The following is an 18,653-nucleotide window of genomic DNA, read 5'->3' as shown; positions in this document are numbered from 1 at the left end:
TGAGATGGAGAAAGTGGGGTAAGGGGGGAAATCTAGTTCATATTTGTACATGTTGAGGTGCTGATGTCTGTGGGAATGAACATAAGAGATAGTGAAATATATGAGTCTTGGGCTTAGAGAAGAGGACCTGTCTGTGCTAAACACTCTGAGGGGATGTATGAAATGTGTAAGACACAGCGTTGAAGAAAGGGTTAACACAGAAGCTCTAATTGATCAGTCCTTGCACATCTTCAGGGGAGCCTAGAATTATGATTGCCCCTAGGCCTACCTCTGGGAATACAGCCCTCAGATGTTCTTTATGTCACCAATTGATGATGTCTTGATGTCATTTTATACATCCAGAGCAATGAGGTATACTGTATCTACTTGTCAGGACTTCTCTGGATTGTTTTTGCAAGATTCATGATGTACCTGGTTTTGATGTTGGGATCCTGAGTGTCATTTCGCAAAAGCCTCAGAGACTCTGAGACTTGGGTGGGCTTTCCTAGACAGAGACATTTCACAGGTGTCCCTGTAGTTTGCTGTTAATTTGTTAGATGCTCCTGTGCAGCCATGGATAAGAAAGGACTTGAAAACCTGTGCCTACTCAATGTATATTTTTCCTGCAGCTTTTGTTCTGTATCCTTTGGCGTAATAAACCTTAGCTGTAAGTAAAACCTGCTATTGGGTCTTATGAGTCTTTCTAGTAAATCACCCAACTTGGGGTGATTGCGGGACCCCTCAAAACACAATTTGCCCTCCAAGAGCTTACAGTTTAGCTGCAGAGGGAAAAGAAACACACATGAAACAACAGTGACCCAAGCAGGACAATATATTACTGTCATCCCAAGGCCAGGCACTAAGTTTTTATTCATCTTTGTATCCTTAAAGGAGGGCTGGGTCATTGGGTGGTCCTCAATAAAGGTCTGCTGAACTTAAATAGAAGAGGTGGAGTTTGCTGGATGGGTAGGACTTTGAATAAGCTACGAGGAAAAGGAGGGCATGCCAATTGGAGAAAACTTGATATAGGCCCAAAAGCAAGAACAGGCAGGGTTTGTTTGTAGAAAGTTGTCCTTAGTCTCCCTGCTCCACAATGCCTGGCTCATTTGCCAAACAGTGGACATTTCATAAAGTCTGCCACTTGTCTGGTATCCTTGTCCAAGTTTGCTACCACACCCTTTTCAGTCTCTCCTCTGCTTTTTCTGGGCAGTGCTAATGATGGGAGGTGATGGGATAGCATATTCCTTCTGCTCCCACCCCAGTCACTTGCAGGAGAGAACTGAGGCTGAGATGTCTAGTTCCAAATCTAACTGCATCATGGATGGTTGGCTTGGCTGCTCTCCCTGTGATTCAGTGATTAAAATTCCAGATGGGACTACAATAACTCTATTAATCTTGAATTCCATACATCGGTTTCAAAATAAAAACTCCTAGAACCTAGGCACCTCTATACAATCTTTCCATATTCCCAGGGAAGCTTTAAAATGAAATAGATGAGTAATTGCTTCACCAAAAGACAGGTTCTGGTGAAAGGAGACGTGGATACAGAGAAAAAGAGAAGACATTCTAGGAAATGAACCAAAACATTTCTTTCTGCATGAACAGGAAAGAAAATGGAAGATTTAATGCTTAGATCTCAGAGATTGACTAGTATAACCATTGTCCCCTTGCCCCTCCAGCAGATGAGGAAGAGATTTGTCCAAGATCACACAGCAATCCACAGCTGACCCAGGACCAGAATATGATTAGAATCAGGACCAGGCTTCCTGATTCTAAGTCCAGTGCTCCACCACATCTTAGTGTCCTATTTTGCAGTTCTATAGCCATAACAATCATCCTCAAAGAAGGATGCACTAAATTTCCCAATTAGCAACTACCCCTCGGTGAAGCATGTTAAGGACCAGAACAGGGAAGGGTGGCAAAAGGCCAAGCCAAGACATCACAATTACAAGAGCTAAGTGAGACATGTTTCTGACTGCTTTATGGGCTCTGCAGCCTTGCTGCTTCTTTGCTTTGAGCCAAGTCAATCATACTCTCTGTCATGGACTGGGGGTGGGGGGAGGGTCAGTGAGAGGAGTGAATAAAACAGACCTTCCTGCTGGCAAAGATGTGTGGCCAAACTATGAATCTGCAAGCAAAAGAAGGGAGGTAATTGTAGAAGCATATGACAGCACCAGAAAGCTCTGGCACAACCAGCATCACCTCCCACCCAGCACCTGCCAGTTCACAGCAGCTGTTCAGAAAGCTTATGGCCTTGCGAGCAGGACAGTTCACAAGGTAGAATCTGTACACCAGCCTCTGTGCCCTGCCCAGGCTTGACTCAGAAGCAGTGACAAATGCACTGGGCTAGTTAGTTCATCGGTACACTGAACGTGAATCCAGGTGACAACCAGGCAGTGACTTTCCTGAAGATTGAAGTCACTTCCTGTTTGGGACCTCCAGTCCTGAGATGCAGTCTTCCACAGCTCAGGCTTCCATGGAGGATCAAAAGCAACTCCTGGGCCAATGAAAGAAATGTGAGGAAAAGTCTAAGGGCGGTTGAGAGAGCCTTGTATGAAGGCTGAAATGTGACACTTTTTTTTGTTTGTTTTTTGGACTCAGAGTTTTGCTGTGCCACCCAGGCTGGAGTGCAGTGGCGCAATCTCGGCTCACTGCAACCTCTCTGCCTCTCAGGGTCAAGCAATTCTCGTGCCTCAGCCTCCTGAGTAGCTGGGACTACAGGCGAGCGCCACCACACCCAGCTAATTTTTTGTATTTTAGTAAAGACGGAGTTTCACCATGTTGCCCAGGCTGGTCTCGAACTCCTGAGCACAGGCAATCTGCCCACCTCAGCCTTCCAAAGTGCTAGGATTACAGGCGTGAGCCACCGCACCTGGCTAACACTTCTATATGCGTACCAAATCAGGGAATGAATGAATTCAGCATTCCAATCACATTCTCACACGATGCCTGAATCACACTCACAAAAACAGGGCTTCAAATCCTTACTATAAAAAAGCATTATATTGTCACTATAGGAAATACTCATAATTCTGGTTTAGGTGAGTTATGGCAGACTTAGAAATAACTGGATTTGTATAGATAAGGGAACCTTATCCCTTAAATGCCAAAAATTTTAAACAGTATTTTCATGACATGTGAAATATACATGTTTATATAACATGTTTTCCAGATTCCCCAGCCCACTTGAACCTTTTTCCAGCTTACTCAGGGTAATCACAATCACATCCTTCATTACGTTATGCTATTTTGTTTTCCTGCCTCCTCCCAGGGTTTCAGGCCTTCAGCAGGCACTTCCTCCATCAGTTTGTCTGAGCTTCTTCCCTCCCTCCCCCACTGCAATATATCTGCCTGTTGCTTCTAATCTGTGCAGCTAGGTAACCAGATTACAGGACTCTTTAGAGCTACGTTATAAACAAGGGACTAGAAAATGTCTGAAGAATAACAGACCTTTAATGCTGTAAGGCTACCTCTGTGTGTTTGAGGGAGTTTGCGACTGTTTCTTCCATCCAGATTTGGAGCAGATTTTCAGAGAGCAGAGGATGCCAGAGGCCCGACCTGGGGATAAATGCTGTACTATGGAATATAAGCCTGGGATCAGGCCATGCCTCAAGCTCCCCTGTCCTCCACTCAACTCCCTAGAGCTCAGAAGGCTTTGAATGACAGAAAATTGGGAAGAACAATTAGGAATAAAGATGAAGCCACGCCAGATTCTTCTTTCAGAAAATGAAGTAAGTGCTGACAAAGCAGGGGTAACACTAGCCTGGGGAATTTGCTCTAACTTCCACAGAGGAGAATCTCTGCATTGTGCCTAGGGGAACTGTAAGTGTTACTTCTATTAAAAATACAAAAATTAGCTAGATGTGGTGGCGGGCACCTGTAATCCCAGCTACTCAGGAGGCTGAGCTCATGACTGTAGCAATATTTGAGATCTCTGTGGTCTTCTTACAAACCTTGGGGGAAAAACAACACAGGCAATTTATAATGTCACAGCAATAACCATCGTGTGTTCCATATTTTTACTACTTAGAAACCACTTTCATAGTCACTAACTCATTTGGTAAGCTATAGAGAAGGCCATTCTCCCTCCCATCCTAAGCTGTCACTTGCTACTCTAGGAAGGAACACTTGAAACTTCTCTATTTCTATTGTCTATAACATTCTTGGCAGCTAAATGCTCACTGCATCCCCATACTCTGTAGGCAAGGATTACCACAGGGTTCTGCTGGGAGCGCTGGGCCAGATGCCAAAGGCCCAGCCAGACACAGGATATCAAAGGAGGATTGTTTAGATGCTGGGGTCCCTGCCTTTTAGGGATGCCTAACTATAGAGTTCTGCCTCTGCCAGATTATTCACTCCCATACAATGCACAGCAGTCTCCCTCAGCCTGTCCCAGTGTCATTTTTAATCAAGGAAGGAGGTAATAATGTAGAATTCACAGGTCATCATTTCATTACTTTGGTCTGGACATCAAAGAACCAGCAGGATAATGATGATGGAAAAGTTATTTATCATCTCGAAATCTCGATTTGTCCATTCTTAAAATAGGAAGGGTAAAAGTCGCCCCTACCTAGTCTCCAGATATCTGGAGATGATAAATGAAGTACTACAGTGGAATAGTTTAATTTTTAAGGTGAATTACTTTGAACTCCTTGGAAGGATCACATAAGTCTAAGGGATTCTAACTGGCTCAGAGTTATATATCTTCAGTTACTTAAAAGTTGTGCTAGAAATCGCACAAAATAACTGAAATTAAATATACAGAAAAGGGAATAAAACTTAGGATTTGATGTTGGGAAAGGAAAGGAAACTTAGCAAAGAAAGTGGCAACCAACAGCAGAGATCAAAATAGGAAGAGGAAGACGGGAAAATGTGAAATTGAAGAATTAAAATTTTGTTACTGGGAAAGAAAGGGGAAATACAGGCATACCTTGAAGGTATTGTGGGTTGGGTTCCAGACCACTGTAATAAAGTGAATATCGTAATAAAGTGAGTCACACAATTTTTTTGGTTTCCCAGTGCATATAAAAGTCATGTTTACACTATACTATAGTGTACTAATTGTGCAATAGCATTGTGCCTATAAAAACAATAAACATGCCTTAATTTAAGATACTTTATTGCTAAAAAATACTAATGATCATCTGAGCCTTCAGCAAGTCATAATCTTTTTGCTGGTGGGAGGTCTTGACTTGAGGTTGATGGCTCCTGCCTGATCAGGGTGGTGGTTGCTGAAGGTTAGGGTGGCTGGGGCAATTTCTTAAAATAAGACAACAGTGAGGTTTGCCACATCAATTGACTCTTCCTTTCCAAAAGATAGATTTCTTTCTTTCTTTCTTTCTTTCTTTCTTTCTTTCTTTCTTTCTTTCTTTCTTTCTTTCTTTCCTTCTTTCCTTCTTTCTTTCCTTCTTTCTTTCTTTCTTTCTTTCTTTCTTTCTTTCTTTCTTTCTTTCTTCTTTCCTTCTTTCTTTCTTTTCTTTTTTTTTAGACAGAGTTTCACAGGCTGGAGTACAGTGGCAAGATCTCAGCTCTCTGCAACTTCCGCCTCCAGGGTTCATGCAATTCTCATGCCTCAGCCTCCTGAATAGCTGGGATTACAGGCGCCCGCCACCACGCCCAGCCGATTTTTGTATTTTAGTAGAGATGGGGTTTCGCTGTGTTGCCCAGGCTGGTCTGGAACTCCTGAGCTCAGGCAATCTGCCCGTCTCAGCCTCCCAAAGTGCTAGGATTACAGGCGTGAGCCACCACGACTGGCCTAAAAGATTATTTATTTATTTATTTATTTTTAGACAGAGTCTTGCTCTGTCACTAAGTTAGAGTGCAATGGCACAATCTTGGCTCACTGTAGCCTCCATCTCCGGGGTTCAAGTGATTCTCCTGCCTCAGCTGGGACTACAGGCATGTGCCACCATGCCCAGCTAATTTTTTTGTATTTTTAATAGAGATGGGGTTTCACCATGTTAGCCGGGATGGTCTCAATCTCTTGACCTCGTGATCCACCCACCTCGGCCTCCCAAAATGTTGGGATTACAGGCATGAGCCACTGCACCTGGCCCAAAAGATTTCTTTATAGCATGCCATGCTATTTGATAGCATTTTACCCACAGTGAAACTTCTTTCAAAATTGGAGTCAGTCCTCTCAAACCCTGCCACTGCTTTATCAACTAAGTTTATGTCATATTCTAAATCCTTTGTTGTCATTTCAACAATGTTCACAGCATCTTCACCAGGAGTAAATTCCATCTCAAAAATCCACTTTCTTTGCTCATCCATAAGAAGCAATACCTCATCTGTTCAAGTTTTATCATGAGATTGCAGCAATTCAATCATATCTTCGGGCTTCACTTCTAATTTTAGTTCTCTTGCTATTTCCACCTCATCTGCAGTGACTTCCTCCACTGAAGTCTTGAACCCCTCAAAGTCATCCATGAAGGTTGGAATGAACTTTGTATTAGTCCATTCTTGCATTGCTATAAAGAAATGCCTGAGACTGGGTAATATATAAAGAAAAGAGGTTTATTTGGCTCACAGTACTGCAGGCTGTACAGGAAGCACGGCAGCATCAGCCTCCGGGGAGGTCTCAGGAAGCTTCCAATCATGGCAGAAGGCGAAGGAAGAGCAAGTAATTTCACATGGCCAGAGTAGGAGAAAGAGAGCGGGGAGGAGGTGATACACATTTTTAAGCAACCAGATCTCACAAGTATGTGATGACGGCAACTAAGGGGGATGGTGTTAAGCCATGAGAAACCACCCCCGTTATCCAACCACCTTCCTCCAGGCCCCAGCTCCAACACTGGGAATTACAATTCGACATGAGATTTGGGTGGGGACACAGATCTGAACCATATCAAATTTCTTCCCAACTCCTGTTAATGTTGGGTTTTTTTTTGTCTTTTGTTTGTTTATTTGTTTTGTTTTGTTTTGTTTTGTTTTTTGAGATGGAGTCTCACTCCGTTGCCCAGGCTGGAGTGCAGTGGCACAATCTCGGCTCACTGCAACCTCCACCTTCTGGGTTCAAGAGATTCTCCTGCCTCAGCCTCCCAAGTAACTGGGATTACAAGCGCCCACCACCACACCCGGCTAATGTTTTATATTTTTAGTAGAGACAGGATTTCAGCATGTTGGCCAGGCTGGTCTTGAACTCCTGACCTCAAGTGATCCACCCGCCTTGGCCTCCCAAAATGCTGGGATTACAGTCCACGTTGGTATTTTGACCTCCTCCTATTAACCATGAGTGTTCTTAATGTCATTTAGAATGGTGAATCCTTTCCAGAAGGTTTTCAATTTCCTTTGCCCAGATCTATCAAAGGAATAGCTCCATTGCAGCCTTATAAAATGTATTTTTTAAAAAAATAGGACTTGAAGGTCTAAATTACTCCTTAATCCATCTGCTACAGAATGTATGTTGTGTTAGCAGACATGAAAACAACATTAATCTCCTTGTACATAGCCATCAGAGCTCTTGGGTGACTAAGTGCATTGTTAATGAGCAGTAATATTTTGAAAGGAACCTTTTTTTCTGAGCAGTAGGTCTCAACAGTGGGCTTAACATGTTCAGAAAACCATGCTGTAAACAGATGTGCTGTCATTCAGGCTTTGTTGTTCCATTTAGAGAACACAAGCAGAATTTGGCATAATTCTTAAGGACCCTAGAATTTTCAGAATGATAAATGAATATTGGCTTCAATTTAAAGTCACCAGCTGCATTAGCTCCTAACAAGAGAGTCAACCTGTCCTTTGAACCTTTGAAGCCAAGCACTGACTTCTCCTCTGCAGCTATTAAAATCCTAGATGCTGGCCGGGCACGGTGGCTCATGCCTGTAATCCCAGCACTTTGGGATGCCGAGGCAGGCAGATCACTTAAGGTCAGGAGTTCAAGACCAGCCTGACCAACATGGCGAAACCCCATCTCTACTAAAAAATACAAAAATTAGCTGGGCATGGTGGCGGGCGCCTGTAATCCCAGCTACTTGGGAGGCTGGCGCAGGGAGAATTACCTGAACCCAGGAGGCGGAGGTTGCAGTGAGCTGAGGCCGCCCCACTGTACTCCAGCCTGGGCAACAGAGTGAGACTCTATCTCAAAAAAAAAAAAATTCCTAGATGCCATCTTCTTCTAATATAAGGCTGTTTTGTCTACATGGAAAATCTGTTGTTTAGTGCAGCTACTCTTATCAATGATCTTAGTTAATCTTCTGGATAACTTGCTGCAGCTTCTCCATCAGCACTTGCTGCTCTTTGCACTTTTGTGTTGTGGAGACAGCTTCTTTCCTTAAACCTCATGAACCAACCTCTGCTAGCTTCACACTTTTCTTCTGCAGCTTCCTCATCTCTCTCAGCCTTCATAGAATTGAAGAGAGTTAGGGTCCAGTTCTGGATTAGGCAGGCTTTGGTTTAAGGGAATATCGTGGCTTAAGAAAACATTTGATCTTCTATCCAGATCACTAAAACTTTCTCCATATCGGCAATAAGGCTGTTTGCTTTCTTATTCACATGCTCATTGGAATGGCACTTTAATTTCCTTCAAGAACTTTTCCTTTGCATTCACAACTTGGCTAACTGGCTGGCACAAGAGGCCTCGCTGGGCTTTTGACGTGCCTTCCTCACTTAGCTTAGCTTAGTCATTTCTAGCTTTTTTTTTTTTTTTTTTTTTTTTTGAGATGGAGTCTCGCTCTGTCACCCAGGCTGGAATGCAGTGGCGCGATCTCGGCTCACTGCAAGCTCCGCCTCCCAGGTTCACGCCATTCTCCTGCCTCAGCCTCCCATGTAGCTGGGACTACAGGCGCCTGCCACTACGCCCGGCTAATTTTTTGTATTTTTTAGTAGAGACAGGGTTTCACCGTGTTAGCCAGGATGGTCTCGATCTCCTGACCTTGTGATCCGCCCGCCTTGGCCTCCCAAAGTGCTGGGATTACAGGCGTGAGCCTCCACGCCTGGCCATTTCTAGCTTTTGATTTAAGGTGAAACATACATGTCTTTCCTTTCACTTAAACACTTGGAAATCATTGTAGGGTTATTAATTGGCTTAATATCAATATTGTTGTATTTCAGGGAATAGGGAGGCCCAAGGAGAGTGAGAGAGTTTGAAGAAGGGCTAGTCAGTGGAACAGTCTGAACACATAAAACATTTACCAATTAAGTTCACTGTCTTATCTGGGCACAGTTGTGGCACCCCAAAACAATTACAATGTTAACATCAAAGATCACTGATCACAGCTCCACATAACAGATGTAATCATAATGAAAAAGTTTGAAACATTGAGAGAATTACCAAAATGTGAGACAGAGACAAAGTTAGCACATGCTGTCGAGAAAATGGTGCCAACAGACTTGCTTAACGCAGGGTTGCCACAAACCTTCCATTTGTGAAAAACACAGTATCTGCAAAGTACAATAAAGCCAGGCACAATAAAACGAGGCATGCCTGTATAAACAGCAACTGTCAAGTGATGTTTTCCAACTAGAATTAAAAGATTACATAAGGAATTTTTTAAAGGAATTCAATCTGGAAGAACTGAGCAACAATTAAGAATGCATTATAAAGGATATGATACTTACATATGTGAAATAAATTTAAATGGCCAATTCTAACCAGAGTGAATGCTGCAGCTGGGTGTTAAAAATCTTTTAACCATACTGAGTTTGGCAGTGATTCTGTACAAGGAAATGATTTATATTCAGGGACTGACTATTTGGGTATCTCATCCAGTTTCAAGATATCAAGACCCACATGGAATACAGCAATGAAGCCAAAGGAAGGAAAGAGAGAGCTAATCATCATGGCCCTATTTCAGATGAAGCCCTTCTTTACCCATCTTACATTTCTGCCCCTTTCATGCTTCTAAGCCAAGTCAGACAGTTATGCACAGAGTGGATAACTTACTTATGTCTGGCTTAAGGGCCTACCCTTCAGAAAGGTACACATGCTGGAGGTAAGGAAGCTGAGCTGCAATTCTGGCAGATTTGTACTGCTTGGGTTGATCTACACTGACTCCAGCCACTCCTTTTCTATGGAATATACTAAAAGCAGTAAGATGATAGTATTTCTTTAGTTTGCTCACCCCTGAGATTCAAAGGGAAAAGAATGACAGCAGGAAATTGTTGCAAGAGCTGGGCATCCAAAGTCACCAAATACCATAGGATTGTGTGTGAATGTGTGTGTGCATGTGTGTATGCATGTACATACACACACACTAGTATACACTAGTGGTATGGTTCAGTTAAACACTATGAGTCAGGTCAGGAGCAGCCAACCACTTTTTATCTCTCAGGTTCCTTCTGGAAATTTGGTCTTTACTTCTAGTGAGAAATCCAGAAAAGGCTCCACTGGTTATCCTCCTCCTGGGAGAAAGAACACATTAACTTTCCTTCTCTCAGGACACTGGGGAATTCTGTTCACTTAGCCTTGTTAGAGGGTTAATCATTAATTAATTTATGCTGACACAACCATGAGACATTAGGGTCCCTACATAATTAGGCATAGCCTGCCTCAGCCTTGTAAGGTCAACCTTATAAAGAAGAAATATCTCACTTTCTATTCAAGCACTCTTGTTTGATCTGGGGGCACTTCTTATGTTCTTATGAGTGTGACGCTTGGGACAGAAGTAGAAGGGACAATGTGTGTTTCATGGTGAGTAATGAGAGAGGGAGAGGAAAAGGACTGTAACTGACAAACAAGTGAGTACTGCCTGTGCTGTCTCCTCACCTTAGGTAAAACAAGCACTGTCTGTTAGACTGAAGAGGTGGTCTGATATTCACAATCCAGTCTCTTACCGAATTCGAAAATCATCAGCAGCTATACATTCCTGGTGAGTGGGGTGGGAAGTTAGTGGTCAGTTGGTACTGAGGGGGTATAGCAGAGACTGTTAATAGACGTGAAATCTACTAGCTATGCCTCTACATATCCCAGTCTTCCTTGTGGTTAAATTGGGGTTAGGTGATTAGTTCCTGCCAATGAAATGTATGCAGAAGTTCTGTGTTACCTCTAGGATGAAGCGATTAAGGCACATGGGCTTCCAGTTCTCTTTTTCTTTGCTACGGTGTCCTTGGAAGTCATCTGTTCCAGATGGTATAGCTACAAGACAGAAGAGGACCAACCAGTCTATATCAAACATTATGTGAGCAACAAATAAACCTCTGCTATTTGTCACTGTATCGGTCTAGCCTATCGTGATTAATATAGGCACCAAAGCAGTGTTTCATTTAGGGTGCCAGAGACTTTAGTGCAAGAAATTAAGCTACTCACACCCACAATGTATAGTTCCTTTTAGAGACACAAACTCTACCAGGATGATCAGATTTCATGTTTCCCAAGACTCTCTTCAGCAAAACTTTGTCTTTGAAGGAGAATGGTTTGCCATGAATTAGTAACTTCAAGTGTAGAGGCCATCTCTCCTAAGGACACACATCTTCCAAATATCAAAAAGCATCCAAAATTTATTGAATAGCTCATGAAATCTCTTCCTAGGTACCTATCATCTCCTTCTGCTACTTCCCATTTTACTGATGGCACTGGACACAAATGCTAGTTTATAGCCTTTATACACAGAACTCCCTCATATATTAGGTTCCCATTAAAAAACAAAAAAGGAGACACAACTAAGTTTCTGTTTATCAAAGCCATCTGATAGTGGCAAGCACCTGTAGTCCCAGCTACTTGGGAGGCTGAAGCAGGAGGATTGTTTGAAATTCAAGTCCAGCTTTGGCAACATAGCAAGATTCCATCTCAAAAAAAAAAAAAAAATCTCAATTTCTTGTAGGCCCTGGCTCAGTGTACTTTTAAAGTTTAGAATAGGAGGGAGAGGAACATCCTTCATTCACTGTCTCCAAAATGTCTAATATTTGCCTCTCTATCTCTCAGTGAGCCAGCAGGTCCAGCATAAGATAGGAAGCACAACATTTCATTTATTTTTTTATTTTTATTTTTTGAGACAGAGTCTCACTCTGTCACCCAGACTGGAGTGCAGTGGCACGATTTCCATTCACTGCAACCTCCGTCCCCCGGGTTCAAGAGATTCTCCTGCCTTAGCCTCCCCAGTAGCTGGGATTACAGGCGTGCACCACCACGCCTGGCTAATTTTTTTTTTGTATTTTTGGTGGAGACAGGGTTTTGCCATGTTGTCCAGGCTGGTCTCGAACTCCTGACCTCAAGTGATCCACCTGCCTCATTCTCCCAAAGCTCTGGGATTACAGGTGTGAGCCACTGCACCTGGTCAGGAAGCACAACACTTTAAACCTTGAAAACAAAAGGGCTGGGACAACATCCACTTGGCACTCTTCACCAATGAGGGAAGACCTCTCTTAGCTGTTTTTCACTATAACCAGTTGAAGGCTCTACCTTTCAGAGCATCTACTTACTGAGCTGACAGGGACCCCATATACAACTGTTTATTGCAAAAGACCAAACTATGTCCTTAAAAATGTTTCTTTAAAAAGCAGGTCACATCACCAATGAAAGTTTGAGAAATTACATACACAGAGAAATATTTTTCTTGGGTTACTGACTTGATAGAAATTTTGATATATTCTCCCCCTAAAGGAACCAGTGAAAAGGCCTGTCTGGTGGTAAGGGGCTATACAAAAGCCATGGCTTTGGTCCTGTGTACAAGCTTGCCTCTTGCTCCGCAGCTGGAATCTGGTTCTGTTGGGAGAAGACAGTCAGAGAAGTCCTTACATCTCTGACCCCAAAAACCTCTTCTGAGCATTGCCCAACACTCCTGTTATACAACATGCAAAACAAATAATCAACCTTAAAAGTCAGGCAGCCAAAGCTCTACTCGAATAATAAGCCCTTTTACAAACTGCTTGTCATTTGCCAAAATCAGCTCCAAAGAACACCAGGAACTCAAAATTCTATTGTTCTCATTAACTACTTGGGGGAACTAGACAAGCTTCGATGGCTCTATTGGTTTTCTGAGAGACAAAAGACATTAAGATTTTCATCTATCTGCACCCTGTCTTTGATCTCAAAAATTTAATTGTAGCTCCAGTCCCACCATCTCTAAGAGGCCTCTATTAAAAGGGTGAGCTAGAAAGGGGCACCAGCCTTTTCTTAGAACATATGCTATTCTCTACTTCCTTCCTGCCTGATTGTTAGGGTGGGAAAAGAAGAATCCAAATGCCAACTTTTTCAGAAAATTTATTGAGAGGGAGGGAGAGGGCAAGACAGAAGCATCTGAAATTTAGTCTTCTGCCTGTGAGGGCCCTCTGGCTGAAGTTCAAAAGGAAAGAGGAGCTTTGCCCAAGGAAAACTATTCAAAACTATGTTTGGTGCACTTGGGAAAGCCTGGTGGTGCATTGTTGGCCCAGAACAGGTTCTCTGGGATTCAAAAGGCAGGGTGAAGCTTTTTTTTTTTTGAGACGGAGTCTCACTCTGTCACCCAGGCTGGAGTGCAATGGCGTGATCTCAGCTCACTGCAACCTCCGCCTCCCGGGTTCAAGCAGTTCTCTGCCTCAGCCTCCTGAGTAGCTGGGATTACAAGTGCTCACCACCACTCCTGGCTAATTTTTTTTTTTTTTTTGTATTTTTAGTAGAGACGGGGTTTCACCATCTTGGCCAGGCTGGTCTTGAACTCCTGACCTCGTGATCCACCCACCTCAGCCTCCCAAAGTGCTGGGAATACAGGCGTGAGCCACCACACCCAGCCAGGGTGAGGCTTTTTCTTTAGGCATTGGACAAGATTTATTGACATGACAATTCCATATTTTCTGAGAAGGATTAAAATTTTTCTTAGGCCCCCAAACTAGAAGGCAATATCAATACTGGTCTTGGTTATATGCATTTATCATAAAATTCATTCAAATAGCAGATTGAGGGTTCCATAAAACAATTAGCCCTGTTTCTGTTTCCAAGCAAACAGGACAGACAGAAGCCATTCAAACATTCTTTTTCAAACCAGATGTGAACAAAGAATTCTCAAGTCTAGATGCAATGTTGAATCCAGTAACAGTGCTCCTAAAACCAGCCAGATCTCTCAAAAGGCAAGGTGAGACGGAGGAGCTGCATGGCAGTGCAGTCACCATGCTGCCAAGTGAGGACAGAGATCATCACCGTCTGGAGGCCTCTTGTTAAGTGGCCTTATTAAGAAAATCTTCCAGGTAAATGCTTTCAGTGAAACAAAAACAAACAAACAAAAAAGAAAATCTGATGGGAGAAATCTGTTATAAAACTCATCTCTGATAAACCACAAAAGGGATTTCAATATGTACTTGACATTAATATCCCAGGACTGTCAACCCACAGATGCAAAGCTCAGGAATTCCCTCCTCTATAAAGTCTTACTACCCTGCCTTTTCCTGTTACTGTTCCCTCCTGTTAAATTGATCCCATCTTCTGCTAGGCTCCATACATACTGATTTGATCACACTTGTTTCCTTCACTAGCTTATAGGATTTCTGAGAGCAGGGACCAAGCCTTATTCATCTCTGCATCCCCACTGTTAGCACAATTCCTGGAACATTGTAGGTGTTCATTAAGTCGCTTAATTGCTGATAAGATTAATAATACTTATAGTTAACTTTTGAGTGTTCAGAAACTCTATGTTTAACGTCCTATATTTCTCCTCATTTTCCAGGTGAGAGAGCTGAGGCACTGAGATGTTAAATATCATGCCTAATCTCATCCAGCCAATAACTGGCAAAACAACAATACAAACTGGGTGATCAGGCTCCAGAACCTTCATTCTTAACTACTACACAGAGTGGTACACAGGAATGAATGAGTGATCTCATAAAAGGGCTATATACCTATGAAACTATTAAAGAAGAACTGAAGTTGATTTAGAAATCTGGTTTATTCACACAAAAATTGATTAAGTAGATACCCAGTACTCTCTGCCAAGCCCAGTGCTAAGCATCAGTGGTACAAAGATAAAAATATGGTATTTGGTTCTGTTTATATTGAACAATGAGAACACTTAGACACAGGAAAGGGAACATCACACACCGGGGCCTTTTGTGGGGTGTGGGGAGGGGGAGGGATAGCTTTAGGAGATGTACCTAATGTAAATGACGAGTTAATGGGTGCAGCACACCAACATGGCACATGTATACATATGTAACAAACCTGCACATTGTGCACATGTACTCTAGAACTTAAAGTATAATAAATATATATATATATATAAAAGATAAAAATATGGTCTTATTTGGCGGGGCGCGGTGGCTCACGCCTGTAATCCCAGCACTTTGGGAGGCCGAGGCGGGTGGATCACGAGGTCAGGAGATCGAGACCATCCTGGCTAACACAGTGAAACCCCGTCTCTACTAAAAATACAAAAAAAAAATTAGCTGGGAGTGGTGGCGGGCGCCTGTAGTCCCAGCTGCTCGGGAGGCTGAGGCAGAAGAATGGTGTGAACCCGGGAGATGGAGCTTGCAGTGAGCCCAGATCGCGCCACTGCACTCCAGCCTGGGCAAGCAGTGAGACTCCATATAAAAAAAAATATATATATATGGTCTTATTCCTCAGCAAGAAGAGAAACAAATAACGAAAGGTCACTAAGCACTTACTATGTGCTGGGCACTGTTCTAAGTACTTCACATTGTTAATCTCTTTAATCTTTACAAAATCCCTATTATGAGATCCCAGTCATATTGTTATTATTAAACTGAGATGAGACAGATAAGAAACTGAGGCTCAGGGAGGTTAAGCAACTTGCAAGAGCCACCATTTGAATACAAGCAGCCTAGCTCCAGAACCCATGCTCTCATCATTACACTCTACTGCCTCATCAGTTTACAACCACACAACCATAACGCAATGTGATATGTGCTAAGAGAAAGAAAGAGAAAAAATACTATAGATGCAGAGAGGAAATGATTATTTTTGCCAGAGAGGGAGCTCAAAGAAGGCTCTGTAGAGCAGGTAACATATGAGCTGGGCCTTGAAGGTATGAGAATAGGAAAGAAATTCAGGCCAGGCACAGTGGCTCACACCTGTAATCCCAGCACTTTGGGAGGCTGAGGCAGGCAGGTTGCTTGAGGTCAGGAGTTTGAGACCAGCCTGGCCAACATGGTAAAATCCCATCTCTACTAAAAATACAAAACTCAGCCAGGCGTGGTAGCAGGTGCCTGTAGTCCCAGCTACTCGGGAAGCTGAGGCAGGAGAACTGCTTGAATTCGGGAGGTGGAGGTTGCAGCGAGCCAAGATCACACCACTGCACTCCAGCCTGGGTGACAGAGTGAGACTGTGTCTCAAAAACATAAAAGTAATTTAAAAAAATTCAAACCAAAATGCTACATGGAGACCAGTAAAACTTGTATGTGTTTTCAAAGCCATCACTACTAAAGTACAAAGCTAAGAAACAAGCCCAGTGCTATACTGTCTTCTACTGCTGAGGCCACTTCTCACCAAGGAACCGGGAAATGACCAGTGAATCTTTATGTCAAGTTTCCCACTTAGTTGAAACACTCCCTGGGGTTTTAGTCAGCTTCACAGCACCTGTAAGAACTTCCTTTCCTCTCCCTTCCATACAATAGATAATGTTTCTGGAAGGAGACCCTCAGACTCTCTTTAGTGTAACTTGAGGCCAGATCTTTCAAGGTTGGCAAAGGAGGCTGGAATCACCATGTGGGTGAGAGGGATAGCTAGACCTCACAGCCCTGATTTTTTCCATACATTAAGATACTCTCTGCTCTGCTAACTGCAGAGGTTCTGAATTCAGTTTTATTAAAGGGCATCCATGGGTTCCCTTAGAGTTCATTCCACTCAAACCTATTGGCAACATCCCCTCCTGTGATAGCTACCTTCCCTGAGGATTACTGGGTACTACCCCCAAGAAATGCAGGTGAATAAGTACAAGTGAACTCAACTGTCGCTAAGTACTCCTAGAGCAAACTTGCAATTATTTCTCCCACTCAAAACACCCTCTCTTGACCCCACAAACCATTTGAGTTACTGCCTCATTTCTCTGCTCACCTTTAAAACAAAAATCTTCAAAAGATTTGTCTATACTCCCTGTCTACAATTTTTCTCTTCTCTTTCCCTTTTGAACCATTCTAATCAAGCTTTTGTCCACTGAAACAGCTTTTATCAAGGCTACTAGTGACCTCTAAGTTGTTAAATTCTACCAAAACTTCCCAGACCTCAGCTTACTTGGCCAACCATAAGTATTTTTCACAGTTGATCATTCTCTCTTCTTTGAAGCACCTTCTTCACTTGGCTTCCAGGATACCATTCTCTTCTGGTTTGCCTTCTACCTTCTGGCCAGTCTTTCTTAGCCTCCATTATTTGTTCCTCTTTACGTTCCTAAACTCTAAATGTTGAGATGTCTCAGGGCTTGGTCCTTGGTCTCCTTCTCTTTAACCCTTCTCACTCCTTGGTGATTTCGTCCATATCATACCTTAAATACTATGTAGATGCCTACGACTCAAAAATGTTTATCTTTGGCCCAGGCCACTCCTCTGAATGCCAGGTTCATACATCCCACAGCTTATTCAACATCCCCACTTAGATGTCTAACTGGCAGCTCAAATTAAACATATCCAAAATTGAGCTTCCAACACACTCCCAACCCTGTTCATCTGACAGTCTTCACCATTGCAGTTAGTGGCAACTCTATCTTTCCGACCATTCAGGCCAAAAGACTTGGCATCATCTTGGACAGAGATGCTGTGTTACAGAACTCCAGGGGGCACCAGTCACATTTTTGTCAATGCTATTAGTGTTATGCCATATGGTGACCCTGCTTTCCTTGATTCCTCTTACATCCTACATCTGATCTGTTAGCAAATCCAGTTGGCTCTACCTTCAAAATGTATCCAAAATCCAACAACTTCTCCCCAAGTCCACTGTTCCTCCCCTGACCCAAGCTTGCCCCCTTAAAATTTACTTTCCACAGGCTGGGCGCGGTGGCTCACGCCTGCAATCCCAGCACTTTGGGAGGCCGAGGCAGGCAGATCACGAGGTCAGGAGATGGAGACCATCCTGGCTAACACGGTGAAACCCCGTCTCTACTAAAAATACAAAAAATTAGCCGGGCGTAGTGGTGGGTGCCTGTAGTCCCAGCTACTCGGGAGGCTGAGGCAGGAGAATGGCGTGAACCCGGGAGGTGGAGCTTGCAGTGAGCCAAGATCGCACCACTGCACTCCAGCCTGGGCAACAGAGCGAAACTCCGTCTCAAAAAAAAAAAAAATTACTTTCCACAAAACAACCACAGCAATCCTTATAAAATGTAAGTCAGATCACATCACTCCCCTACTCAAAATTCCCCAATGCTTCCCATCACATTCAAAATTCTCACAATAGCCTACAAGATGCTGCATTGCTTTTTTCTTTTATATTTATCTACTAGATAAATATCTATCTACTAGACTATCTACTAGACTGTATATTTTCTTTATTCATCTCACTTATTGTCCGCTGCCCATATGTGAATATAAGCTCCATAAAGTCAGGGACTTGGTCTGTTTTATTCACAGATGAAGCCCCAGCATCTACAGCAATACCTGACACAAAGTATGTACTCAATATGTATTTGTAAATGGAATGAATGAAGTAGATTGGGTAGGGGGAAATCTTGACACATGGGCCAGAATTATACCAAATTGCAATATGACAAGTGAAATGGCATTTGAGGAGCCAGCTAGTGCTGAGACCTAGTCAAGCCCCAGGAGATGTTTTTAGTTGCTACTTCCTACCATTGTTTTGACATTTTGTCTGAGGAAGTCTCCCTTCTTTT

General features: G+C 43.0%; 1 long non-coding RNA gene across 1 annotated transcript in view; it reads right to left on the bottom strand.

The window, feature by feature from the left end:
- LINC01285 (long intergenic non-protein coding RNA 1285) overlaps positions 1–18,653 on the bottom strand; it is a 42,460-nt gene that overhangs the window by 15,502 nt on the left and 8,305 nt on the right. The window contains exon 6 of the long non-coding RNA NR_110393.1: positions 10,959–11,050. This is a non-coding gene — a long non-coding RNA (long intergenic non-protein coding RNA 1285). The remainder of the gene's footprint in view (positions 1–10,958; positions 11,051–18,653) is intronic.

This window comes from Homo sapiens, chromosome X (genome assembly GCF_000001405.40).
Source record: "Homo sapiens chromosome X, GRCh38.p14 Primary Assembly".
Classification (NCBI taxonomy): domain Eukaryota; kingdom Metazoa; phylum Chordata; class Mammalia; order Primates; family Hominidae; genus Homo; species Homo sapiens.
This window is presented reverse-complemented; position numbering and strand designations above follow the sequence as displayed.